The sequence below is a fragment of the Homo sapiens genome, chromosome 7 (genome assembly GCF_000001405.40).
Source record: "Homo sapiens chromosome 7, GRCh38.p14 Primary Assembly".
Lineage (NCBI taxonomy): Eukaryota > Metazoa > Chordata > Mammalia > Primates > Hominidae > Homo > Homo sapiens.
The window spans coordinates 155,205,620-155,230,361 of NC_000007.14; the positions used below are offsets into that span (position 1 = coordinate 155,205,620).

At 52.8% G+C, this 24,742-nt stretch overlaps 5 long non-coding RNA genes across 5 annotated transcripts, besides 9 other annotated features; 2 read left to right on the top strand and 3 right to left on the bottom strand.

The window, feature by feature from the left end:
• Positions 17 to 266: an enhancer, noted in NCBI's record as "active region_26894". NCBI's record gives its function as "activates an Ori minimal core promoter by ATAC-STARR-seq in GM12878 lymphoblastoid cells {active_cell/tissue: GM12878}" and the evidence as "EXISTENCE:reporter gene assay evidence [ECO:0000049][PMID:35858748]".
• Positions 85 to 11,542, top strand: LOC124901783 (uncharacterized). The gene is made up of 2 exons (XR_007060603.1): positions 85 to 208; positions 5,981 to 11,542. It is a non-coding gene; the product is annotated as an uncharacterized LOC124901783 (long non-coding RNA).
• Positions 3,196 to 3,705: an enhancer, noted in NCBI's record as "H3K27ac-H3K4me1 hESC enhancer chr7:155000525-155001034 (GRCh37/hg19 assembly coordinates)". NCBI's record gives its function as "activates a minimal SCP1, AML or CMV promoter by ChIP-STARR-seq in naive H9 embryonic stem cells {active_cell/tissue: H9 hESC(naive)}" and the evidence as "EXISTENCE:reporter gene assay evidence [ECO:0000049][PMID:30033119]".
• Positions 3,340 to 3,634: a silencer, noted in NCBI's record as "tiled region #14434; HepG2 Repressive non-DNase unmatched - State 10:DNaseD". NCBI's record gives its function as "represses a minimal TATA promoter and a strong SV40 promoter by Sharpr-MPRA in HepG2 cells {active_cell/tissue: HepG2}" and the evidence as "EXISTENCE:reporter gene assay evidence [ECO:0000049][PMID:27701403]".
• Positions 3,513 to 4,426, bottom strand: LOC124901786 (uncharacterized). Its single transcript, XR_007060606.1, has 2 exons — positions 4,278 to 4,426; positions 3,513 to 3,995 (listed from the first exon to the last, which is right to left on the bottom strand). It is a non-coding gene; the product is annotated as an uncharacterized LOC124901786 (long non-coding RNA).
• LOC124901784 (uncharacterized) lies at positions 7,692 to 11,723 on the bottom strand. Its single transcript, XR_007060604.1, has 2 exons — positions 9,013 to 11,723; positions 7,692 to 8,430 (listed from the first exon to the last, which is right to left on the bottom strand). It is a non-coding gene; the product is annotated as an uncharacterized LOC124901784 (long non-coding RNA).
• Positions 8,420 to 8,714: a silencer, noted in NCBI's record as "tiled region #4112; K562 Repressive DNase matched - State 4:PromP". NCBI's record gives its function as "represses a minimal TATA promoter and a strong SV40 promoter by Sharpr-MPRA in K562 cells {active_cell/tissue: K562}" and the evidence as "EXISTENCE:reporter gene assay evidence [ECO:0000049][PMID:27701403]".
• Positions 11,724 to 16,424: 4,701 nt separating the features above from the next.
• On the bottom strand, positions 16,425 to 21,617 carry LOC124901785 (uncharacterized). Its single transcript, XR_007060605.1, has 3 exons — positions 21,402 to 21,617; positions 20,172 to 20,293; positions 16,425 to 17,847 (listed from the first exon to the last, which is right to left on the bottom strand). It is a non-coding gene; the product is annotated as an uncharacterized LOC124901785 (long non-coding RNA).
• Positions 19,122 to 19,623: an enhancer, noted in NCBI's record as "H3K4me1 hESC enhancer chr7:155016451-155016952 (GRCh37/hg19 assembly coordinates)". NCBI's record gives its function as "activates a minimal SCP1, AML or CMV promoter by ChIP-STARR-seq in naive H9 embryonic stem cells {active_cell/tissue: H9 hESC(naive)}" and the evidence as "EXISTENCE:reporter gene assay evidence [ECO:0000049][PMID:30033119]".
• Positions 19,624 to 20,123: an enhancer, noted in NCBI's record as "H3K4me1 hESC enhancer chr7:155016953-155017452 (GRCh37/hg19 assembly coordinates)". NCBI's record gives its function as "activates a minimal SCP1, AML or CMV promoter by ChIP-STARR-seq in naive H9 embryonic stem cells {active_cell/tissue: H9 hESC(naive)}" and the evidence as "EXISTENCE:reporter gene assay evidence [ECO:0000049][PMID:30033119]".
• Positions 20,282 to 21,195: an enhancer, noted in NCBI's record as "H3K27ac-H3K4me1 hESC enhancer chr7:155017611-155018524 (GRCh37/hg19 assembly coordinates)". NCBI's record gives its function as "activates a minimal SCP1, AML or CMV promoter by ChIP-STARR-seq in naive H9 embryonic stem cells {active_cell/tissue: H9 hESC(naive)}" and the evidence as "EXISTENCE:reporter gene assay evidence [ECO:0000049][PMID:30033119]".
• Positions 20,506 to 21,448, top strand: LOC124901787 (uncharacterized). Its single transcript, XR_007060607.1, has 2 exons — positions 20,506 to 20,864; positions 20,973 to 21,448. It is a non-coding gene; the product is annotated as an uncharacterized LOC124901787 (long non-coding RNA).
• Positions 22,280 to 22,574: a silencer, noted in NCBI's record as "tiled region #9102; HepG2 Repressive non-DNase unmatched - State 20:ReprD, and K562 Repressive non-DNase unmatched - State 20:ReprD". NCBI's record gives its function as "represses a minimal TATA promoter and a strong SV40 promoter by Sharpr-MPRA in HepG2 and K562 cells {active_cell/tissue: HepG2 | K562}" and the evidence as "EXISTENCE:reporter gene assay evidence [ECO:0000049][PMID:27701403]".
• Positions 23,024 to 23,937: an enhancer, noted in NCBI's record as "H3K4me1 hESC enhancer chr7:155020353-155021266 (GRCh37/hg19 assembly coordinates)". NCBI's record gives its function as "activates a minimal SCP1, AML or CMV promoter by ChIP-STARR-seq in naive and primed H9 embryonic stem cells {active_cell/tissue: H9 hESC(naive and primed)}" and the evidence as "EXISTENCE:reporter gene assay evidence [ECO:0000049][PMID:30033119]".

Sequence of the window (24,742 nt, forward strand, 5' to 3'; positions counted from 1 at the left end):
GCAGTCAGGAGGCAGCCCAGGCCCTCCCATCCGACTTCAGAGGCCAGACGCACGCCTTCTAGACGCTGACTCACAAGCCAAGTCACTCCTTCCTGACACTCACGCCACCATGTCCTCCCCAAAGTGCATTTGCATTTTAACAGCCATCTTCCGTGAGCTGACTCTGTGGTTTTCAGTCAGTGGTTTCCAGTCGGCTATTTGTCATAAGGTATTTACGCTGACGTATAACAGGATTATGAGTGTTTTAATGAATTAATAGGTATTTTAAATGCTATTTAAATGTACTACCTCAAAAGGCTGAGAAATGTGGGGCCTCTGTGTGGATGTGTCAGTGTGTGTGTCTCTGTGTGTGTCAGCGTGTGTGTCTGTATCAGTGTGTGTGTCTGTGTGAGAGTGCGAGAGTGTGTGTCCGTGAGAGTGTGTCAGTGTACGTGAGTCTGTGTGTCGTGAGTGTGTCTGTGTGTGCCCGCGTGTCAGTGTGTCTGTGTGTGTCAGTGTGTGTGAGTGGTCGAGAGTGTGTCCGTATGTGAATGTGTCAGTGTTTGTGTGTGTGTGTCAGTGTGACAGAGTGTGTGTGTTTGTGCCTGTGTGTCAGTGTGTCTGTGTGTGTCATTGTGTGTTTCTGTGTGTGAGAAAGTGTGTGTCCGTGTGTGTTAGTGTCTGTGTGTGTGTGTGTGAGTGTGTGTGTGCACGCATACACACGCATATAACTCTGCTGTGGCTTCTATAACAAAGTACCGTGGACCGAGCAGCTTGAACAACAGAAACTCCCTTCCCCGCAGTCCTGAGGTCCGGAAATCTGAGATCACGGCGTGGGCAGGGCTGGTTCCTCCTCAGGCCCCTCCGTGGCCTGCAGACGCCATCCTCTCCCTGTGTCCTCACGTGGTCATCCCTCTGTCAGCGTCTGCTTCCCAACTTTTTCTTCTTAGTCCGTTCTCACCTGGCTATAAAGAAGTCCCTGAGGCTGGGTAATTTATGAAGAAAAGCGCTTTAATTGGCTCAGGGATCTGCAGGCTGTACGGGAAGCGTGACGTCATCTGTCTCTGGGGTGGCCTCAGGAAACGTCCAGTCATGGCGGAAGAAGAAGGGGAAGCCAGCTCATCACAGGGGGAAGCAGGAGTGAGAAAGAGGAGGGGGGATGTGTCACACACTTTTAAAAGACCAGGACTCCTGTGAACCCAGGGCTCGAGCTCACTTATCACCAAGAGGCTAGCCCAGCCATTCATGAGGGATCCACCCCCATGATCCAAACACCTCCCTCCAATCCCCACCTCCAACACTGAGGATCACATTTCCACATGAGATCTGGGCAGGGACAAATACCCAAACTGCATCCTAAAGACACCGGTCAGATTAGATTAGGGCCCACTCCAAAGCCCTCATCTTAGTTTAGTTACCTCTTGAAAGACCCTGTTTCCAAATACAGCCACATTCTGAGGTCCTGGGGGTTAAGACTTCAACATATGGATTTGGGGGATACAACAAACGCCATTTGGGGGTCACAGTGACTGAGGGTGCTCCTGGATTTTGTTGGGGTGATGGTTGAGCAAGGTTGCTATTCACCCTTCAGTAGGTAGGACACCCCCCCAAGGGATATCTACCCAGCAAAACGCCAACAGTGTGCTCTCTCAGGAAGACTTCCTGAAAACAAAGAGCCAGGTAGAATCTCAGCACACGGCAGGTCGCTGGTTGATGTTTTCAAGAAGCAGCTTTGGGGGTTTCCTCAAATCCATCCAATGAGATTCCATCTCTTTTATCTGAGCATCTAGGATGTTCAAGGAGAAACGGCTCCGCTTTTTCCTGCTTCTCCAGGAATCCAGCTTAGTGGGTTTACCTGCCTCTGTCCAAGGTGCTCCGTTGTGAGTAGCCCCTGCCTCTGGGTGTGCAGGTGATTTGGGGACTGAGAGCTGAGGCGCTAAAGTTAAAATGGCTTAACGTGTGTGACTGTGTGTGAATGTGTGTGTGTACGCGTGTGTGCGTGCGTGTGTGTGTCTGTGTGTGGGAATGGGTGTGAGTGTGTATGAGTGTGTGTGGGAATGGGTGTGTGTGGGAGTGCATGTGTGTGGGAATGTGTGGGGGAATGGGTGTGTGTGGGAATGGGTGTGCGTACGTGTGTGTGTGGAAATCGGTGTGTGTGTCTTGTGTGGGAATGGGTGTGTGTGTGGGAATGGGTGTGTGTGTTACAGTGTGTGAGTGTGTGTGTGTGGGAATGGGTGTGAGTGTGTGGGAATGTGAGTGTGTGTGTGGGAATGGGTGTGAGACTGTATGAGTGTGTGTGGGAATGTGTGTGTGGGAATGTGAGTGTGTGTGGGAATGGGTATGTGGGAATGGGTGTGAGTGTGTGGGAACGTGAGTGTGTGGGAATGGGTGTGGGGGGAATGTGAGTGTGGGCATGTGAGTGTGTGAGTGGGAATGGGTGTGAGTGTGTGTGTGGGAACATGAGTGTGTGGGAATGGGTGTGAGGGGGGAATGTGAGTGTGGGCATGTGAGTGTGTGAGTGGGAATGGGTGTGAGTGTGGGTATGAGTGTGTCTGTGTGTGGGGAATGAGTGTGTCTGTGGGGAATGGGTGTGAGTGTGTGTGTATGACTCTGTGTGTGGGAATGGGTGTGAGTGTGTGGGGGGAATGTGAGTGTGTGGGAATGGGTGTGTGTGTATGAGTGTGTCTGTGTGTGGGGAATGGGTGTGTGTCTGTGTGTGTGGGAATGGGTGTGAGAGTGTGTGTGTGTCTGTGGGGGAATGGGTGTGTGTGTGTGTGGGAATGGGCCTGAGTGTGTCTGTGTGTGGGGGGAGGGAATGGGTGTGTGGGGGGAATGGGTGTGTGTGTGTCTGTGTGTGGGGGAATAGGTATGAGTGTGTATGTGTGGGGGGGAATGGGTGTGTGTGTGTGTGTAGGAATGGGTGTGTGGGGGAATGTGAGTGTGTGTGGGAATGGGTGTGTGTGGGAATGGGTGTGTGGGAATGGGTGTGTGTGTGGGAATGGGTGTGAGTGTGTGTGGGAATTGTGTGGGGATGGGTGTGAGTGTGTGTGGGGGAATGTGTGTGGGAATGTGTGTGTGGGGATGGGTGTGAGTGTGTGTGGGGGAATGTGTGTGGGAATGTGTGTGTGGGAATGGGTGTGAGTGTGTGGGAATGTATGTGGGAATGGGTGTGTGTGGGGGAATGGGTGTGTGTGGGAATGTGTGTGTGGGAATGGGTGTGAGTGTGTGTGGGAATGTGAGTGTGTGTGGGGAATGGGTGTGTGGGGGGAATGTGTGTGTGGGAATGGGTGTGTGTGTATGAGTGTGTCTGTGTGGGAATGGGTGTGAGTGGGGAATGTGAGTGTGTGTGGGAATATGTGTGTGTGTATGAGTGTGTCTGTGTGTGGGAATGGGTGTGAGTGTGTGAGAGGCTCTTTCTCAAGACTGTAGGAGTGGGGGCTTCTCCATGGGGACACTTTCAAAGGAGGAAGAAAGAACAAAGGAAGAAGGGTGGATTTCACTCCTTTCCTTGGAAATGAGTCATGACTGAACAATGAATTTGGGGAAATTTTATTGAATTTCATGCCACGGCCTTGGTGCAGGCACCACATGATCTACTACATTCGGGGCACATAGGTGACGCCCCCCAGCTGTGAGGGCAGGTGCCCCGAGACTGGGTGTGTGCTGGGCATTCCTGGCAGGCGTCACGTCCCCTTTGGCGGCAGATTGCTCCTGTGGGGCACTCTCCACCGCCTTCATGGGCCACGGTGAATGCCAGCCGTGACATCGGGGCAAGCTGCCCATCGAGGAAGCCGAGTCGGCTGTCTGCTGACCTGGCAGCCATGCCTGCTGGTGCTTCACTCCCTGCGAGCAAGGGGCTTAGGGACTGCTCTAAAGATTGGGGTCAGAATCCCAGACCCCAGGACCCCCCATCCTGGCCCGTCCTCAGGGAGAGCTGCCAACAGGGTCCCCACCCGTTCCTTCCTCTGCTTTCTTTCCACACTTGGAGCCAGCTTTCTTTTTTGTTGTTACAAAACCTGTATTGAAGAACAACAGACTCTAAGACAGAGGTCCCTCAATGTCATCACCAACCCCATCCGTGTTGGCGTCGGCCCTGTGCCTCCTGTTCCTGCCCGTGTGCATGTTCATTTTTACAGATTTATAATGACAAGAGAGGGTATTGTCCTCTCTTCCCTAAGTTTATGCCACGTGGACCTTCTCATTTTCGCTGGTGCCTTCCTTTCTCAGGAACCTCTTTCCCCCGCTCCCTTCCCCCTACCCTGCTCCATTCCCACCCCTCCCCCGCACCCTGCACACACCTTTCATGCCCCTGCTCCTATGAGCAAACACAGCATGCGTGGGGAGGGTCTTCACTACGGCTTCTCCTCCGCAGCTTGCTTAATTGCTCCGTGGTAATCAGGACCATCTCCCAGTTTGGGAACCGGATTCCTTCTGGGAGGTGGGGGAGCTGGAGGGGTAGGAGCCTCAGAGGAGCTGGAGTCCTGCTGAGACGCCCCACCCCCATCACCATCATCTCTCCCCCATCTTATTAGCAGGTTCCTGCCCCTGCACTTGGCGGTGTCTACCCAAGCTGCCTGAGCCGGCCATGTGAGCAGCGCCTCCAGTACCGCCACAGTGAAAGGGAGGCCGAGCATCCTGGAGCCCATGAACCCACACAGCCCCCATAAGCTGCCCAACATCTTCTGGTGGTTTCTGTTCAACCCCAGAGACTCTTGGAGTTTACCTTAACACTGTCACCTTCCCAAACTCCATGGAGGAGGGGCTGAGCCTCTTAGCATCTTCTGGGACGGCCCCTTCCTCATGGGGGTGGGTGGTGAGGGCGGTGCAGGGGGAGACTAGGAGGGCTCCTGCATCTCCTGGTCCCTCTGTGGATAAATACACGGCCAGTGCCCCAGGCCTGGGTCCATATGAACACTCTCCCTCCCCCACCACCAGGAAAAGCAGTCACAGCTACAGGTGGGCATCCTCCCCTCCTCCCCACTGTGCTCCCAGGCACCTGCTGGCTGTGCTATGCTCTGCAACACAGGGCTGCCGGCCAGGGTGGGGCCACAGTTAGTCTCATTCCACCTGTGCCGTCTCTGACTCACTGCACTGTCCGAGTGGGCAGAAGGTAGGTGCCGGCTCCAGGGCCAGGGGACACTTAGCAACTGCTCAGAATCTCCCAAAGGTGGCTTTTCCTCAAGGTACCATCTCCTTCCTCCTTTCACCAGCTCTCCCAAAAACAGGTGTGAGAACTAGTCCCTTGATGTGAGAGATACTGTGAAGTTCTTGCTTTATTTTAAACCCCAGCTTAATCAGATGATTTTTCTTGTGGGCTAAGCACTTTCATCCTTTGCCTCCTTGAGAAAATTGTCAAAGCTGAAGGTCTCCTTGCCAATGAATCAATTTCTGCCTCTAGCACCTTTTCCCTCTTTCACTTCCATTGTGCAAATAACCAGTTCATGCTCTGGGTCGGTTGGCTGAGCAGACAGGCAGGTGGCACCTGCACAGGTAAGTGGTTGGGATGAAAGTCAGGTCCTTTTTTCTCCCTCCACAACCAGAACCCCAATTAACCTGGTACCCACAAGTTCCCGCCCTGGCTAGCGCCCTCCAACTGGGCCCATTTTGCATTCAATGCGATTCCAAAAACAAAAAAAAGTGTTTCACGTAAGCCCTTAAGATACAACAAGAGTAGGGCAGAATTTTAATACTGGTTTTGCTTTAAGACGCAAGTAAGTCTCTTTTGGGAGCCAGCATGAAGTGGGGGCACCACCACTATCCAACTGCAGATGGGGTTGGCTCCAGGCAACAGGTGGATGCTGGACGGGGAAACCAGGAAAGGCTGGGCCCTACAAGGAGCCCACCATGACCTGCAAAGGCCAAGGAGGCCAAGCACTCAGGAACTGCAGGAAGACAGGCTGTAGGGGACATCAGGAGAACTAAGTGTCTTAGTCTGTTTTGTGTTTCTATAACAGAACACCACAGACTGGGCCGTTTATAAAGAAAAATTTATTTTGCGCAGTTCTGGAGGTTGGGAAGTCCAAAGTCGAGTGGCCGTATCCGGTGAGAGCCCTCCTGCAGCATCATCCCATGACGGAAGGTGTCCCATGGTGAGAGAGCACGTATACCAGCTCAGGTCTCCCTTCCTTTTCTCATAAGGCCACATCCCCCATCGGGTCCCATCCTGATGTCCTCATCTAATCCTAGTTACCTCCCAAAGGCCCCACCTCCAATCAACATGTGACTATGGGGAGTAAGTTTCCAGCCTATGAAACTGGGGGACACATTCAAACCACAGCACCAAGCAAGCTGGAGCAGCCAAGAGGAAGCCACATGTTCCTGCAGGGCAGGGCAGCCTCCACCATGCAGGGCTGGGACAGGCCAGGGCAGTGAGGGCTCATGGGGGCCGCACCCACGCCAGCTCCTGCAGCACCAGCCTCTGGCCAGCTGTGTGCCTGGAGCAGAGGGGAGCAGGACCCACGTCCCAGTCCCCCACATCCCAGATCTCACCGAAGAGATCAACTAGCCTAGGGCCAGGCCAGTAGGAGAGGACCTTGTCCATTTTCTCCATGAAAAGTCAACATTTATCTCTCCAAGTACAAGTCACTTCCTAATCTTGAGATGTGTGGAAACAAGCTCTTTATGCTGAAAATCAACTTCTACATTTTAGTTCTGAGATGTGATTCTGCCAGCCATGGTGGACGAGGAGGATGGTAGGGACTTAGCTAGAGTAGCACGTCCTCACTAGACAGGGGTGGGTGGTGTGGGGAGGTGGGGGGCTTGGCCTTAGCCTGAGTGTGACGTTCAGCCTGCATCTTGAGCACAGTGAGAGCCTGAGCCACTGCACCACTGAAGATGCTTAGAAGAGAGACCACAGCAGGCGAGGAGGCTTCCCAGGGGTCTGCGCTGACAAACCAGGGATGAGGGTGGCCAGCTGTGCATGAGCCCCCCAGCGCCCATGCAGGCGTCCCCACCTTCACCACCTAAGTGTGGTCACGCACCCAGGGAGAGCTTTCAACCTGGCTCTCTCAAGTGTGTTTCTAAACACTAGAGCCAGGAATCCTGTCCTGTGGGTCCCTGAAACATAACCGGTGAGCCCAAGATCTCCTCGGAGAAACAAGGCTCCCCTTAGGGAGGGCCCAGGAACGTGGGGGCCTCTGTGAGGCAGAGGGTCCCAGAGGGTATGACCGTTTCTGCAGAATGGTGGCCACTCTGCAGAAACAAAATCACAGCCCAGGAAGAGCTGCCAAAGTGGGGGCCAGGGGAGCCGGAGAGGGGGACTGAGCCAGATGCCTGCAGAGCCGTGGCTCACAGCCTCTAGGAGGTACGCCCATGAATGTTTCAGAACACATTTGAGGACTGACGTATGTGACCAACTTTTTCTTTTGTTAAGCAAGGATTTTTAATCACCATTACTGGATTAAAGAAAAAACATTTTGGCTGGGTGCAGTGGCTCACACCTTTAATCCTAGCACTTTGGGAGGCTGAGGCAGGCGGATCACTTGAGGTCAGGAGTTTGAGACCAGCCTAAGCAACATGGCGAAATGCCATCTCTACTAAAAATACAAAAATTAGCCAGGCCTGATGACACGCACCTGTACACCTGTAGTCCCAGCTACCTGGGAGGCTGAGGCATGAGAATTGCTTGAACCTGGGGAGGCGGAGGTTGCAGTGAGATGAGATGGTGCCACTGCACTCCAGCCTGGGTGACAGAGTGAGACTCCATCTCAAAATAAATAAATAAATGACATTTTAATACCACAATTAGGATAATTTCAGAATAAAAATTTTTTTTCTTTAAAACTTTGTAGAAAATCCCACACACCCAATTTGGCCTTGTCTGGGAAATGTGAGGATTCCTGTCTCCTGGGACAGACAGTCTCACTGCCAGGCATCCTCCCCCTGCAGTGATTCACATCCTACAATGTCTGCCCTGATGTGTCAATTGTAGAGTAGGTCCCTCATGGAGGCCCAGAGGCCCCAGCCCAGAGCCCGTCTGTCAGTCATTGGCTGAGAGTGGTTGGGACAGGTGACCCCGCAGTTGAGGCGACCCCCCACGATCTCTGGAAAAGGCAGCTGAGCCCCAGTTGCAGCAGGTTGGGGGAGATGGTGCTGCCACAGCACAAAGGACCTAGCCCCAGTGGCACCCACCACTGTCAGAACTCTCCACTGAGGGCCAGGGTGGATCTTTCCTCCCACATCCAAGCGCATCTGACATCTTCACCTTGAATCCTGAGTTTCTCTCTTAACTCTGTCTCACTTTGTCATGAACAAACTCTTTCTTGAAAGTTGTATTTCTCTGGGGCCAGAAAGGCGAGGAAAGAGGCGCTTTCTCCTGGGAGGTGGGCCTCGTGTGTCCCTGTCGTGGCTGAGAGTGACTGCCCCAGCACCTATGAAGAAAGCCCAGAGACTCTGGAGGCTCAGCTGGGATAACGCCTGGCGTGCTCGGGGGTCATGGCCACCGCCTGGACTCTGGAAAAATGGGAAAAATGCTCTTGGCAGACAGCGGGGCAGTCAGGAGGGAGCTGGCCCCACCAGCCCAGGCAACGCCCAAGAGCTGTCCTCCCACTCGGCTCCAGGAGACGTTTAAATGGGGCCTGACTCCCCCATCTCTGATTTAAAAGATAACCAGAAGCAGCAGAGAAAACATCTGAAGTGCTTCCTGGACACACCTGTTAGGAAGTTTCTGCAAGAACCCAGGTAAGAGCTGGACTAAGCGGGGGTCCGTGGGTGGGAGGAGGGAGAACGCCTGCCTGGGCATTTACAGAGATGAGTTTGCAGAGATAATGATGCCAGGGTTTCAGCCCCAGCCCCAGGAAGAGAACGGCAGCAGGAAAAGTTAGAGAGGAGAGGGAGCAGGAGGTGGAGAGCTCGGCCCCTCCTTCGCTGCTGCCCTCTGGGTGACGCTCAGCGGAGGCGCCACGTAGCAGCTGCGAGAGCCCCGAGACAACCTCTGCACTGTTTATGGGATCGCATTAGGGGAGCAGCGGCCCTGCATGACCCCACAGGTGAGCAGGACACCTCATCATAGGGTAGGCACGTGAGCAGACTCACCCTCACACAGCTGCCTTCAGGGCTGCCCAGGTCAGGTGCTCAGAACACAAAAGAAAGTGAGACAAAGTCGCCACCCTGGAGTTTACGAGCTGGCGTGGGAGACAGGCTGGCACTGAGGATGACAGTGGAGAGAGATCGGGCTGGGAAGAACCGGAGGCGCTGGGGAAGCCGGGTCAGCAGGGAGACCCCAGCAGAGTGGGAGCCGGAGGACGGCGGCGACTGCAGCCCGACTGTTTCAGGTGGCGTCCTCGTCACGAGAGGAGCTTGAGCGGGTCGTGGCCTTCCTGGCAACCTGCCTACAGAGAAAACGATTGCTGGGTGCAGATGTCTCGAACATTTATTGCATTCCACGTTGTCAGTCAATAAAACAGCTTTGCGAGCGTAATACTGACAAAATCAAGTTCAGGCGGTAAGCCCCAGGGCTTCCAAGAAAAGTGGATCGGGGGGCTTGCTCAGCTCTGGTATCCAGGGGGGGCCACTGCCTGGTTCCCAGGCAAAGGAGTACAAACTGCCGGGAGAAACAAGGACCCTGCAGGAAGAAGGGACCTGCCCGACTTGTTCCCCCGCACCCACATCAGGAATTTTCCCAGAAAGCCATCCACTTTGTTAGAGACAAAATAAAGGTCATTTGGAGAAAAACCTGCCAGCAGCTGCTGCTGCTTGAAAATAGAAAAGATTTTAAAAGTAGCAGTGTTGGGAGGCCAAGGCAGGCAGATCACCTGAGGTCAGGAGTTCGAGACCAGCCTGGCCAACATGGCGAAACCCCGTCTCTACTAAAAATAGAAAAATTAGCTGGGCATGGTGGTGAGCACCTGTAATCCCAGCTACTCGGGAGGCTGAGGCAGGAGAATCACTTAAACCTGGGAGGCGAAGATTGCAATGAGCTGAGATTGTGCCACTGCACTCCAGCCTGGGCAACAGAGCAGGACATCGTCTCAAAAAAAAAAAAAAAATGCAGCAGTGGTTTGAAATCATGCATTTTTATGTGTTATCCTCAAACATCTGAGGGAGATAAGAAAGAATATACCACGGATGAGAATATTTATAATTATCAGAAAAAAAACTGCCTCCTAGGAACAATCCTGTGAGCTCCATCATCAAATCTGATTCAGAAGCCTCCAAATCCCCTACTTGCCCTGGCAGCTGCTACCCACCTCACAGCTGTCCTTTGCAGATTACTACAAATGTTCTCTTAAATATTCATTTATCCCCCAGCATTGACAGGTGAGGAATGATGTTGCTTGGGCTATTTCTGCCCCAGGTGGCCCCTGTAAAGCCGGGACCTTGGATCCCCTCTCTCATATGAGCCTCCTAAGCGGGCTCCCAGCTCCTGGATGGGGTCTTCTCAGGGCCTAGGGCCCCCTCATCTGCCCAGAACAAACTTCCTCATCCAGATGTCACCATTCACTTCCCCAGGTCCTCCTTCCCACCAGACATGAGGATTTTAACTTGATCATCTCTGCAAAGACCTTATCTTCAAATACAGTTACATTCTGAAGTCCTGGGGGTTAGGGCTGCAACACCCGAATTGGTGGAGACAAAATCCAGCTCCTGACAATACCGCGTATGATAGCTGCGTCTCTGCCTGCAGTACTGTTTTCCAGGGAAAGCATCTTTGAGTGTATTCAGAAAGCCTCTCTCTGGGGCCAGGCCTTGCAGAGAATCCTTCAGAAACTGGACAACCCCACCCAAGGCAGTCAGTGGGGAGGACACATTTGGTGCCTCATTGGTCCCTGGATCTGCCTCACAGTCCTCAATGTTCCTCCTCGTTCCCTCTACTCTTTCTCCTCTTTGGTTGACCTTGAAGCTCATTCCTGGTGAAGGCCCCGTGGGAGCAGTGCAATGACAAGAGGAGCCTGTTTTCAATAGCACCCTCACGCTCTCCAGGGGTCCATTGGAGGCGCCTATGACCTCCTGATGCTGAGGAGCCTAGAGTGGGCAGCCCTCGGGCCCAGGCTCCACCTGGGTGAGGCCTGTTTTATTATCAATACTCACCACAGTCATTTGTGGGAGTGTAATGCTCATATTCCCATTTAAGAGATGAATAAACTGAGGCAAGGTGAAGTGACTCAGCTGAGGCCACACCACAGTTTAATGGGGAAGCCAGGATAAGAGCTGGCGGCTTCTATGTCTGATCTACACTCTGATGGGAGGTCGTCAGAGAGCCATGTAAACGGTGAGGAGGTGACATGCTGGTCCCTTCCATAAAAGCTGTTTTGCAAAATTAAAACACACACACAGTAAAGATCCAGATTTATGCAAGTGAGAGTGAGGGGCTGACTATTTACCAGTCAACAGATCTCCCCAAATGGTTCTCTGCTTGGGGTTGAGATGCTCCTGACCAGCAGGGCTTGGGGAGAGACATTCTTGCTCCCCCTAGAGCTGGCTGACCCATACCCAGGGGATTCTGAGCACCAGGGGCTGGGAGCAGCATGTACCACGTGTTTCCCAAGAGTTAGTCATGTTTGCTCCTAAAACTTATTGTAATCGAGGAATCTAATTAAACAATACACCAACTGAAGAAACAGTGCAAAAAGAATGAGTGACTGTTTCTATGAAAACTTAGATGAACTACTTTGGAAAGATTCAATAAAAAGCATGCCTAAATACATATACTGGGGCCAGGAGCAGTGATTCACACTTGTAACCCCAGTGCTTTGGGAGGCTGAGGTGGGAGGGTGGCTTGAGGCTAGGAGTTTGAAACCAGCCTAGGCAACATAGCAAGACCCTGTCTCTACAAAAAAACAAAAATTTTTCAACTGGTTGTGGCAGCACCTGCCTATGGTCCCAGCTGCTCTGGAAGCTGAGGTGAGAGGATCACTCGAGCCCAGGAGTTCAGGCTGCAGTGAGCCGCAAGTGTGCCACTGCACTCCACCCTGGGCAACAGAGCAAGACCCTGTCTCTAAAAAAATAAATAAAATATGTACATCCAGATACAGTATTATGTGTGGGCGAGACACCGGTAAAAGATGGAAACAATCATAAAAGTCAGGCAGGATTCCACCTAAGATTGTCTTTAGCTCTCAATCTACCTTGTTTTAAAATTTTTTTATGAGCCATAAAAGACCTAAGACTAGTCTTTATTGTACAACTTGATGAATTCTGATCCTGTGGCCATACAGTTCAAAATAGAGCATTCTAGCACTCAGAAAGCTCCCTAGTGCCCTCATCAGTTGGTGCCTGTCAACCCCAAGGATGTCATAGTCATTTGGACACCCCTGGCACAGTCATTCCACTTAGAGACTCTGCCAGAAGTCCCAGATCATAATCAGGAGTGAAATTTACACAAGAAGGGGCCGGAAGCCCTAGTGAGTAGTGAACTCAACTCCAAAATAACCCTACACTAAAAATAAAACTGGAACGTACTTTTTATGTTTGAAATTTAAATAAGATAGATGTATTTTTGTTAAATCGTTCCAACCTGTACAACTTTTCTATTCATCAGCCAACTAGCCAGAGAAAGGGGGTTTCTGCTGCTGTCAGAGTATAAAAATGAGCTGCAATTTTCAAAATTTGACCTCATCTAACTTTCTCCAGCTATGCCATTCCTGGAGCATCCTCAGTCCAGTGCCTGATGCGTAAAACATAATAAAAAGGTGACCCCACCACACCAAACACTGGGGTGTCTGTAGCAGTGACCGCGTCTCACGGGGATTTTGTCTGAATGCCTGTTCCTCCACTCGCCTAATCCATGGAGGTCAGGGAACCACGCACCTCAACACACACAGTAGCTTCTTAATAAATGTTGGTCCATGGAAGTCAAGTCAGCCCTTAAAGGGAAGGGTAGGAAACAGGTGTGCAGGGAGGGAGGAGTAAAGCTGCCCTGGGCCTGCCAGGCCTGGGGCCACCCCGCAGGCAACTCTGGAGCCAGACAGCCTCGGGGCACCCCAGGCTGAGGGAAGGAGCTGGGCACAGCCCTGTGTCCCCGTCTCTCAGCCAATGGAGGAGGAGCTTGGTCAGTCCCTACAAAGGTTGCAGTGGAGACCCTGCACCAGGGTACCCACCTACCCATGAAGGCACAGGAGGAACATTCTGGAAATGAGGAGGCCCTTGTGAAGCCACAGAGGTGTGGAACAGCATGGCACAGCACCCCTGCAATTCCCATACCCTGTGAGGACCCCACAGTCCTCATCTGTCCCTGGATGTAGTGCAGTGGTTGTCCTCGGAGTCGCTGGGGTCTCTGCCTGCTGGCTCTGCCCTAGTCCCGAACTGGACGCCCTGGCTCACAGTCCCTCCCCACGGCACCCCCTCCTGCATTCCTTGGCTCACCCATGAGCCCCTCTTGGGAATGGCTCCCCAACTCCACTGCTTCAGGAAGGAGCAGCTTAATGCTTCCCGAAGCTTCTCCAGCCCCACCCCACTTACCCCCATGATGTGAGCGCTTGGACGCACCGTCCCAGTGACCTGCCTCCACGGTAAAAGAGGGCCTGAATGGGGGTTCTTCAGTGCGGGGATCAGGGGCTGATTTCAGAATCTAACGACTGTCATTATGCCGCATACACAGAAAAATGAACACGAGAGCTACAATTTACATAAAAATCCCGGATTTGGGGAGCCCCCATAGAACCCCAAGACCAAAGACAGGTCTCTCAATGGGAAAATTTCAGGAAGCGACGCCAGGTGTCCTAATCCTCTGAAGCCCAGAATGTGTGTGCACCGGGGCGGGGCTGCCCCGGAGAAGGTTCAGGCGACCTTCGCGTGAGGACTCCAGGCCCCTCCGGAGAACATTCCTGAGCCTGCACCAACTGCCCTCCGTTCGCTCCTCTCCAAAGGGTCTCAGAAACCCTCAAAATAGTGTTAGGAAACCATCTTACTAACGAATGTCTGCCTCTTGCTTTCCACCGTATTTAAAACTCTTCCTTAAGCTGATATGAATTTTGTTAAAAGCACACGGAGAATGTTTTCTCATTGCCTCCCACTCTGAGCTAGGTATTCCATTCCCCCAAACACTCCTACATTTAGTAATGCGAAAAACAGTGAAAGATCTCAAAGCCCATAGATGAAAGTTAAATCAGTTCTGACAGACCCCGATGTGTGATGAAATATTATGCAGCCATTTAAAATGATGGAATAATACTTGAAATATAAAAAAGTTTAAAATGCAAACCCCAGAAGCATCTACAGTATATCCCCAATTTTCTAACACACACGTGCACACACAGGCTTCTAAGAAATGATTAGAAGGAAATACACCAATGTATTAATATTGGTTATCTCTGGTAAGACTAAAAGTAATTTTAATTTTCTTTTCTTCTTTCCTGTATTTTCCATGGTAAGCATACATTGATGTTAATTTTTTGATTGAAAATTCTACTGGCTCCACGGCCTGTCTTGTGTAATCACAGCTGAGCTCACTCATCTTCTGGGCTTTGGCACCGTAGGGAGGAAGGCAGCCTTTCCCCAGTGTGCCCTTGGGCAATCCAGATCCACCCCGAGCCTGGGCCCTGCTGGGTACTGCCCAGGCGATGCCAGGAGAGGGCTGAGTGGTGGCCGCAGCTGAGTGCAGACACATGTGGTGCAGAGCACAGCATGATGCAGTGTGGGACGGTGGGCTTTGCAAACCCCAGGAAGGGACAGCGGCCAGGTGCTCCGCTCCAAGCCCAGTCCCCCAGGCCTCAGTGAGCACCCCCGGCTGTGACTTGGGCCAGCCCTCCATTCACTCAGCCACTGTCTCTCTGAACATGCCCTGCCCTCCTGCCGGGCTGGCTGGGCTCTAGGAGGGGGTGTCCTGTGCAGGAGGCACATGTGAGCTCAAGGGCACACCAACCCCTCTCACTAGTCATGAGTTGGGCCCAGTGCAAGCCCGCTCACTCACTGCTCACTCCCGCCAAGGTCAAGCTTCTGAACCCCTTCTTAGAGACAAGGAGACCTGGGCTTAGCCCTCGAGTCCACGTGGTCGCCAACATGACATGACGGAGCCAGGGCCCCCAGCCCTGCCCCAGCCTGGCCCCTCCTCCACACTGGCTTCTGTGCCTCCTGCAGGGCCAGCTTCTCAGCAGCGCCTCTCTCTGCAGGAATTCACTCACTCGGAAGCTGGGCAGACTCAACCCAGAGCTTTGGCCTCCTGGACTTGGGCATGCTCCTGTGTAATGAGGAAGGGCCTCATTTTAAACAACCAGATCTTGTGAGAAATCTTTCACGAGACAGTAGCAAGGGGAGGGTGCTAAACCATTAGAAACTGCCCCGTGATCCAATCACCTCCCACTAGGCCCCAGCTCCAGCACTGGGGATGTCAGTTGAGCCTGAGATTTGGGTGGGGACACAGATCCAAACCGTATCAGAAGGGAAGAGAGCCATCCCGGGAGTGGGCAGGCTTTCCCGGTGGACCTTGGGGAGTCACCCCACATCTGTGTCAGTACAGCCAGACTTAACAATGGAAAGAGCCACCAGACCAGTTCAGGAAGCTGGGCGGGAGATGCCTCAAGGAGATGAGGCCAGCAGTATGGAGCAGCAAGTCCCCCTGTGCCCCCACTCTGGGGAGCTGCAAGAATGACCTCACAGGCCCTGCCTTCCCCCACACCCTGTAGGCTGCGCAGCTCCCCCAGCAAGACATGGAGCTGTCTTCCCACCCCTGGAATTGCTGGTCATGTGCTGTGCCTCAGCCAGCAGAGGTGACAGGGTGACCTTGGCCTGGTTCCCCCTGAGCTCACTGGCTTTTTTTTTTTGCTTTAAGTTCTGGGATACATGTGCAGAACGTGCAGGTTTGTTACATAGCTATACATGTGCCATGGTGGTTTGCTGCACCTGTCAACCCGTCACCTAGGTTTTAAGCCCGGCATACTTTAGGTATTTGTCCTAATGCTCTCCCTCTCCTTTCCCCCAAGGTGAGCAGGTCCCTGGCACAGCCACACCCAAACCAAAGGTGCCCTTGGAAAGGTCACTGTCTTCATTGCTCAGGCTGGTTTGAGTCAGGTTCCTGTCACTTGTAACAAATCCACTGGATTTCCAAGCCTCCAACCACACCTCTGCCTCAGGTCCAGTGCACTGAGACCCAGCCCACAGCTCTCATCATGTTGCAGCCCCTTCACCACTTCCAGCATCATCTCATTTTCCAACAGGCTGAAATCCAAATGTGTTCACTTTCGTAATCCAGTACTCCCCATGACCTGGTCCTAATCTGCATCTCCACCACCATTGCCCATCATTCACTAGATAAGCACATGCCTACTATTGCAGGCACTCAGATCGTGAACACATATTGGATGAAGCAGCAAAGAGCCCTGCCCCCGGGGGGAAGACAGACACCAAATGGGGAACACAATAAATAAGTAAATTGTATAGTATGTGAGAAGATTGTAAGTGCTTTGACGGAAAGGAAGGAAGGGAGGGAGGGAGGGAGGGAGGGAGGGAGGGAGGGAAAAAAATAAGAGAAAGAAAGAAAATGTCCCCTTTCCAAAAACAAGAACGCTGGCTTCCAACAGCACTGGTGGAATCTTGTATTTGCTCAACCCTACAAGACAGAAAATCATTACAGAATTGCTACCTTGCACCACAGTGAAAGCAAACCCACAAGTCAAGTTCAATATTTGTTTGCAGGTATTTTGTCTGCAGGACAAGGGTTATAGGTCAAGGTTCCGTGTTCAATGTTACTTGGGTTAGTTTCTGTTGTGGTGGTGGGGTTGGTTTGTTGGTTTGGTTTCTTGCCTTGTTTTGATTTGGTTTGGTTTTGGCGTGGTCATGTTACTATCTGAAATACAGTTAGCTCATATTTCCCACATGCTGTGATAAATGTTGTTAATAAGTCAGCCTCTGTGGACCAGCTGGATTGTGTGTTCTCCCTGCTAACCCAGAGCACACTGAAGGCAGGTGCTTATTATCCTATTCATCTTTATGTCTTTAACGCCAATCACAATTTCTGTCATAGAGTAGGTGCACAGGAAATATTTGTTAAATTCAACCACTGAACCTAAAGGGTTTCTGGAAAACTTTTTTGCAAAATCCATGTAAATGCCATAATAAATAATTTGCCTATATATTCATAGACTAGCATCCAAACCACAAGCACTTACTTTATGAATAATTCAGACATATGAAGAGCTGATTAATGACTCATAATTTAGAACCCCACCTACTGTCCCCTGGGTGGGGGGGCCAGGGCTGCTCTCCAATGCCTACCTCATGCCCTGTGCAGAACACGTGAGGCTCACCCACCTCCAAACAGATGCAGTGCGCCCTCTGCCTCAGGCAGGGCACTCCCCAACACATGGGCAGCTGCTCACACAGAGATGGTATTAGGGCCTTTTGGGGATTTGGGAATCTTGAACACTCATGGGAAGATTGATAGGCTTCTGGGATGCCTTCCATGGAGCGGCTCGGGACAAATTTGTGAATGCAGCGGCCAAAAGATCTGCAATCCGTCATGGGTTGAGTAGAGCTACCCAATGCGCCAGCAGCATAGGGAAAATGCTGAGGAAAATGTGACGGCAGGTGCCCACTCTTAAAGCAGCCACAAGTCTTTACTGAGGTCCTGCCGGGTCAGATCCTATGCTGGATATAATAGGGAAGGCGTGCGTTTGAAAGGATTTCTCAGCCGCAGACGCAAGCCACGCATAGCGCTCGGTGAGAGACTGGTGTCCAGGAGCATGGACCGAGGTGCAGTGGTGGGGCTGGACTTGAGAATGACTTTCAACTGCCAGGATCTGGTGACCAACCGGATGTCAGGGACAGAGAGAAAGGCCCAGGTGGGGAAAACTCAAGGCTTCCAGTGTGGGAGGCTGCTCCACTCAGCTGGACCCCAAGGGTCCTGGGGAAAGGGCCTATTTGACGGGCAGCAGAATGAGCTGCTCAGAAAACAGGAAAGAGAAGACATCATTTCAGACCTGAGGCAGCGCCGACCTATTTGGAAAGAAGAAATACACAGATGAAGCCCCTAAAATCATTTAAGTGAAAGGAAAATAAAATCTCAAGACCCAGTTCATTCTGCCAAAGGGAAAAGCTAAGCTGGGACTGAGGCATGCAAGCCTCTGCCTTTCCTTCTGCTCCAGAGCAAATTGCTGCGGAAAGCAGGCCAGGGGTCTCCACAGGGAGCTGCTCTTATGCTGACTTTATCTTATGCAAAGATTTACTGAGCACAAGACAAATACATGATGGATGATTCCTGTACCCGCTCCTTTCCAATGCGATGTGTGGACTCAGACATATGACCACACCCCCTCCCCTTCCCCTCCTGCCTGCTTTGCCCCTTTCAGTATTAAAGCCCTCAAAATCCTCTTTGGAAAAATTGGATCTCAGGTTGTTCCTGTGGTTTCCTGTTCCTTTTCCCCAGGCACATCCTGAATGTTGGCAGAATAAACCTCTGAGTTGATTGAGGCCTGTCTCTGCCACTTTTTGGTTTACAACTATAAAGGGTGACTGCATAAGGGCTGAGATAAATGACAAGAAATGTATTGGAAAGACATGGTATTCATCCTGGAAGCCTTCCTGCAGTTGGGGAGACTCAAGCCAGGCTTTAAAGAACATGAGGGGTGACCAGAAGAATATCCCCAAATGAGAAGGCAAATACTCAGAAACACAAACCTCTCGATTAGAAATTCTGTTTTAAGATAAAGCACTGGTGGAGGGGGGACAGAGAGACAGAACCAGAGAGGGACAGAAAGAAAGGGAGGGAGAGAGGAAGGGAGAGAAATAGACACAGAGGAAAGAAGAAAGGAGGAGAAAAGAGAGGGAGAGTAAGAGCGGGGAGAGAGAAGAGGAAGGAGAAACGTTTCATTTTGCTTGGGGACAGAGCACTTAGGAAAACAATTGAAATCTGTCCAGGAAGCGCCTTTCTATTTTCTTTCTGCTTCTAAGTAAATAATCTAAAGCCTCATGTCAAGTTGTTTGCATAGCTCTAGTAGCTAAGGTTAGTTTATTTAATTAAAGTGATGATTTCAGGCCACCACCAGGAGTGAATTAGAACTGTCTCCTCGCTGCTCTCCAAAACCCCATCAAGGTGACTCTCTCCGCCCGACCCTGGAGGCTATTTTTATCCTCTTGATCTTGGTGTGATTAGTAAAGGCAATTAAGCAGCCGGATCAAAGCTCAGGGCCTCACGCCTTTTAGATGTTCCTTAACAACCCTGGCAGGGTTTGCAGGAATAAGCCCGTGTGGAGGCAAGCATGGGCATGAATAAAGATCACCTGAGAAGGCGGAGGGCTGCTGGGGAGACGGTAGCAGGAGGCCATCCAGGGAGGGGCTGGGAGGCAGGGATGCCCCATCCTACTGCTCTGGGGTGCCTGTCCCATTCTGTGCCCTGTGCATGTGCCTCCTCCTAAGAAGATGAATTCTTTGGGGTTTATAAAGAACCTCTCTCTTCTGTCTTAATTCAGTGAGAGACACGCCCCTTCTGCTGTCCTGCAGCCATAAATTGAAGGCCCCTGCAGGCCCCTGAGGCCTACCCTAAATTTTGCTGTGGTCTTAAAAAATAAAGGTGTTCTACATTTTAAAAAAAAGAATTCCTGAGACACAAGGACCAGTCAGTATTTATAGGCTACAAAACAAATAAACCGGGTTAACTTCATTTTCCCATTGAACCTGTGTGAGGGGCATAGAGGGGTCAGGGTTCAATCAGGCTTCCCACAGCAGGGCAGCTCCCAGGAAGAGAGGTTGAACCTGAAAGAGCGCACAGACAGGCGGGGACCGCGCTCTTGCCCAGGCCTACAGCTGGTGGGCACCAGACCCTGGGCTCGGACCCCTGGTTCGATGCCGTGTGATGTTGCACTGGCTGCCCCGCAGCTGATGCAGCGGGGAAGGAACGGGACTGAGGAGCAGTGGCATTTGGAAGTCAGAGTTTCCACAAGCACCAGTTAAGTGCATGGATTTCTCTCCCAGGGATTTCCTTCTTCCCAGACCTTGGGGCCTTCATCTCCAGCCTCTCAGAAGGAATAAATTCTCAGAAATACAGGATCCACACACATAGCCTGCCAGAAGCCTGTGCCACTGCGTAAGTGTGAGTGACTACGGAAGACAAGGTGGACTCCAAACCCGACGCTATGATCCACTCGAGCCTCGTCCAGGGAATTTATGGAGCACGTGGGACCTCCCTGCCATCCAGAAGCACAGAGGAGGTGCGTCCCCACAACAATGCCAGGAACACACAGCGGGGAATTCTCTGACATCGAGAGGCTTCCAGTGAGGGGCACTGGCTGCCCTGGAGGTGACAGAGACTCCACATCAGCTACCTGCTGAGATGGTGCTGGGAGCCTCGTGGAGCAGAGCAGCCGATCCGATCCAGGGTACCTGCTACAGGCCTGGCACCACCTGGTAGGTCATTGCGGGAGGACTTGTTCAGGCTCTGATGACCCTGTCAGACAGAGAGACAGAGAGTCCGAGAGAAACAGAGACACAGAGAAACAGAGAAGCAGAGACAGAGACAGACCAACGGAGGAAGAGAAAAATACAGAGAGAGACAGAGATAGAGAGAAGCAGAGACAGACCGAGAGAAAAAAATACAGAGAGACAGGGACAGAGACAGAATCAGAGTGAGACAGAGAGAACAAGGGAAAGACCCGGAGAGAGAAATGCAGAGAAAGAAAGAGACAGAGACAGAGAGATACAAAGAGACAGAGACAGAAATAGAGAGACACGCGTGTCTCCCAGGCCGCCGTCCCGCCCAGTTCTAGGCCTGGCTGCAGTCCTGCCCCCGGTGCCCAGAGAGCCCTTCTCCCATCACGGGCCATCTCCACTGAGCCATGTGCTAAGCATCAGCTCCTGGGAGCCACGGTGTCCCCTCACACCTGCAGTGAGGACTGAGAAAGCTGCAGATGGGAGGCGAGGCAGCGACACAGCCGGCTGGCACTAGGCATGGGGTGACAAGGTGCATGGCGCGGCCAGGACAGCCTTGTGCAGGGGACAGCGGAAGCTCAGGAGACAAGGTCAGAGGTGGTGGGGCCCCGCCACGGAGGGCACCGAGGGGAGGAACTGGGGCTTCATTTTGCGGAATGAGAGTGGAGGCCATGAAACCGAACCTCATGCACCCCCAGCCACAGCAGCCTCATCAACGGCCCCGCTGCTGCCGCGGGAATCGCCCACACTACCCACAGGCTCCCCACCAGCCCTGGGTGCAGGAGACACTGAGGTAGGTCCTGTCCTGGGAGGTGTGGGAGCCTGCTGAGGGCTGGCTTTGGCGGGAGCTCCAGCCCATGGGGGAACAGTGGCCAGCGCTGGGAAGTAAAGATCCCCCACGCCTAGGCTGGCCAGTTTCCATGGGGGCAGCACAGCCCACCTCACGTCTCCAGTGGCTCACACTCGGAACGTTTGCCAGCCTGCTCTGCTGAGCGGTGTGAGCCACCTGAGTGGCCCCAGCACCTCCCAGCTGATGCCCCCACCTGCAGCCCCCAGGACGCACCCCCACTCCTGCAGGCTCAGACCCCACTGCAGCCTGGGCTCCCAGCCGCCGCCAGTGCTCACACGTTTTCTCCTGCAGGTGTTTTTCCCAATAAAATCTGTGCATCTCTCATCCTGTCTTGGTGTCTGCTTCTCGGGAGACACAGAGTCTCACACGGGAAACGTGTTGTCAGCTGTGAGGGGTGGGTGGGGGTGGAGATAATTGCCATGAGCCATGCCAGGGCCTGAGAAAGGAAACAGACACAGAGAAACAGAGAAGCAGAGGCAGAGACAGACCAATGGAGGGAGAGAAAAATAGAGAGAGACAGAGAGAGAGAAGCAGAGACAGACCGAGAGAGAAAAAAATACAGAAAGACAGGGACAGAGACAGGTGGCGCCCTGCAGGAGGAGGTGGCAGCTGGGTGGAGAATCAGCAGGGGCGGCGGCATGGCAAGCCCACCTCTCTCCCAGGGTTCGCGACCGTGATCTGCTGACAGGTTGGACAGGCACTGGCAGGTCACTACCAAGACGTTAGATGCTGCAAAGCACAAGGCACTCCTCATAAGAACGCAGTAGTAATTAGAGGTCCTGTGTGGGAACAGTGCCATTCATTAACAGTGATCACCGTTTGATATCGACAGGGTCCGACCAACGTGCCCGCAGGATGCAGAAAGGGCGCGTGATGAGCACAGGAGAGTTTAGAGTGGCCCCGCGCCTGCTTCCCAAGCTCCAGAGACACTTTCTGCAGCAGCCGCACTCCTGACAAATGGGATTTTGGGGGAATCAAGTGTGATTTTGATTCACTCGGGGAGCTCACCACTTAGAAGAACGCTGCGGTTTCAACCAGTCCTTCAGAAATGCAGAGAGTGTGGGAATTCCAATGAAAAGGCCCTGAGGAGGGCGTGCGGTTACGGGGTCCCTTGAGCTTGATAAAGGTAAGGACAAGGGACAAAAGCGCAGGCAGAGGCTGCGTGGGGGATCGGAGTGGGGGCTGTGGCCTCGGTACACAGAGGAGGAAGAGCTCAGCAGAGTGAGTCCATGTCCACAGCCTGCTCCGAAGATCAGGGCAGTGACCCCTGGGGAAGAGGATTTTGAAAGATTTGGAGGGAAGGGCTGGTTGCATGACAAAGAAGCGGCAGGAAGAGGTTACAGGTCCTGTCGGAGCCGCGTTGCCTCTGCAAGGCTGGGCGCTGGAGAATTCTGCGCTGGGTGGAGTGAGCATGGTGACCCAGGGCTCAGGCCACTGTCCTGGGGCTGGAGGCGGCCACAGGGGGCTGTTGTCTTGGGCCCCCCGCTGCTCACTGCTCCTAAGGAGACTGAGTGTCTCTCGCCCCACACATCTCTGTCTGGACAAGGAATTTGCCCAAGGGACCTCCCTGAGTCCGGAGGGAAGAAGGGAGAAAAGTTCTGACCCCAGCCCTGCCCCCCACCTTCCAGCCCTGTCCTAGGTCTGCCAGCTGAGCTGTCCCAGCACCGTGCCCCGAGGCCCTAGAGCACATGCGGGCGACCAGCACTAAGTTAGAGGACCAACAACTCAGTGGCACACTGCCTTTCCCCCACCCTGGCCTCCTGATGGGGAAGACAAGAATAAGTAATCATGTTTGCTCACTTCCACCAGGGCTGGTGAGAAGCTCAGGAAAGCCAGGGGTGGTGAGCAATGTCTGGAGGAGGCGATGCTGTGGCAGCTGTTCCCGCATGGCAGCTGGCCGTGTCTCCCTCCTCCCATGGGGCCCGTCAGTGAGCACCGTCCCAAGAAAGAGGACAAGGCACCTAGGCCAGCCAAGGGGGGAGGGGAGAGCAATGAATCAGGGCCTCCTGGAGCCCGGAAGGGCTGAGGCCACAGCAGTCCTGGAGCCCTACATGGCGGGGATGTCAGGCTAAGGGCAGACATGATCTAAAAAACGAAAAGTGGAAGAAGAAAGAAAACCACGAGGTGAGCTTCCAGAGGCTGGGAATACGCCACTCCTGATAATAACAATAACACCAACCACCAGCAGCACATGTGCACACATGGCACGTCCCACTCTCCAAGCTCCTCACATGTGAAGTTCCTTCTTCCAAAGCCCCAGTCTCATTCTGCTCAAGCTGCCATGGGAAAGTACGTCGGACGGGGTGGCTTATGCAGCAGACGCCTGGGAGTCCAAGATCAAGGCGTCAGCAGGGCTGGCGTGGTGAGGGCTCTGCCTGAGGCTGCGGGGGCACCTCCTGCCTGTGTCCTCACCTGGCCTTTCCTCTGCCCACAGGAGAGAAGCAAGCAATGGTGTCTCTTTCACTCCTTATAAAGACACGACTCTACAGGGTTGGGCCTCCCCTGTGGCCTCACTTAAGCTTCATCCCCTCCCTACACACCCTGTCTCCATGTGCAGTCACACCGGGTTAGGCCTCAGCATAAGAGTATTGGGGGCATGCAGTCCAACCTCTAACAGCCCATTGGAGAGAGGCACAATCCTATTATTCAGCCCCTTTTACAGGTGAGGGCCTGAGGCCCAAGAAGTTCTTTCTTACCTAAGTAAGTGGCAGAGCCAGAACTCCAACTAAGGCAGTTTCTCTGTTAAAAATAAATAGTTTATAATCTCCAGAAGAGCGGCCTGTCATGGCAAGAGGTAGGTGTCAGTTTGGCTCAGAAGGGAGAGGTCCTGTGTTGATCTTCCTGTCCCACTTCTCGCATTTTCCAGCCTTCCTGTCTTTGCTAGGGCAGCTCCCTCCTGCTAGAAGGTTCTTCTCGATCATCTCTTTTCCCATTAAAATCTCATCATCTTTCAAGACCAGCTCAAGTGCTGCCTCCTCCAAGAAGTCCTCCTGATCACTCCTGGCAGAAGTCGCCTCCTCTATCTCTCAGAGCGTATTCCATCACAACGTTCCCACCTGGAGAGTGGAATTCTGTACATATGGATGGAGAAGCACTTGTTATGCTGGGAGATGAGACGCTTCACGAGCTACCTGCCTGCTAGATTGCATGTTGTCTCCTGACCTCAAGAGCTTGTTTTATGTGCAGAACACTAGACGTCTGATGATGCGAACACCGCTGGAACCCTCATTCTGTTAGACGGCAGGCCCGAAGAGCACACGCCAAAGTTGGTGGCCTAATCCTCTTGGCATCTGTTATAGTAAATGCATTTTCATGGGAACACAGCCAGGCCCATTTGCCCAGGTATCACCCACGGCTGCTTCTGCACTACAACAGCAGAGTTGCACAGCCACAAACCCTAAAATATTCACTGTCTGGCCCTTTCCTCATATTTACCCGCCCCTGCCCCAAACCCTCCACCACGCGGACCTGATTCCATGCTTCTGGCTCCCCAGGAGCGAAGCCGTAGATGGTGTCTCTTTCACTCCTTATAAAGATACAATTATACAGGGTAGGGGCCCCTCCCTGTGACCTCACTTAGCTCCCAGCTGACCCAATCAGCTCGCCTCCTCCACTGAG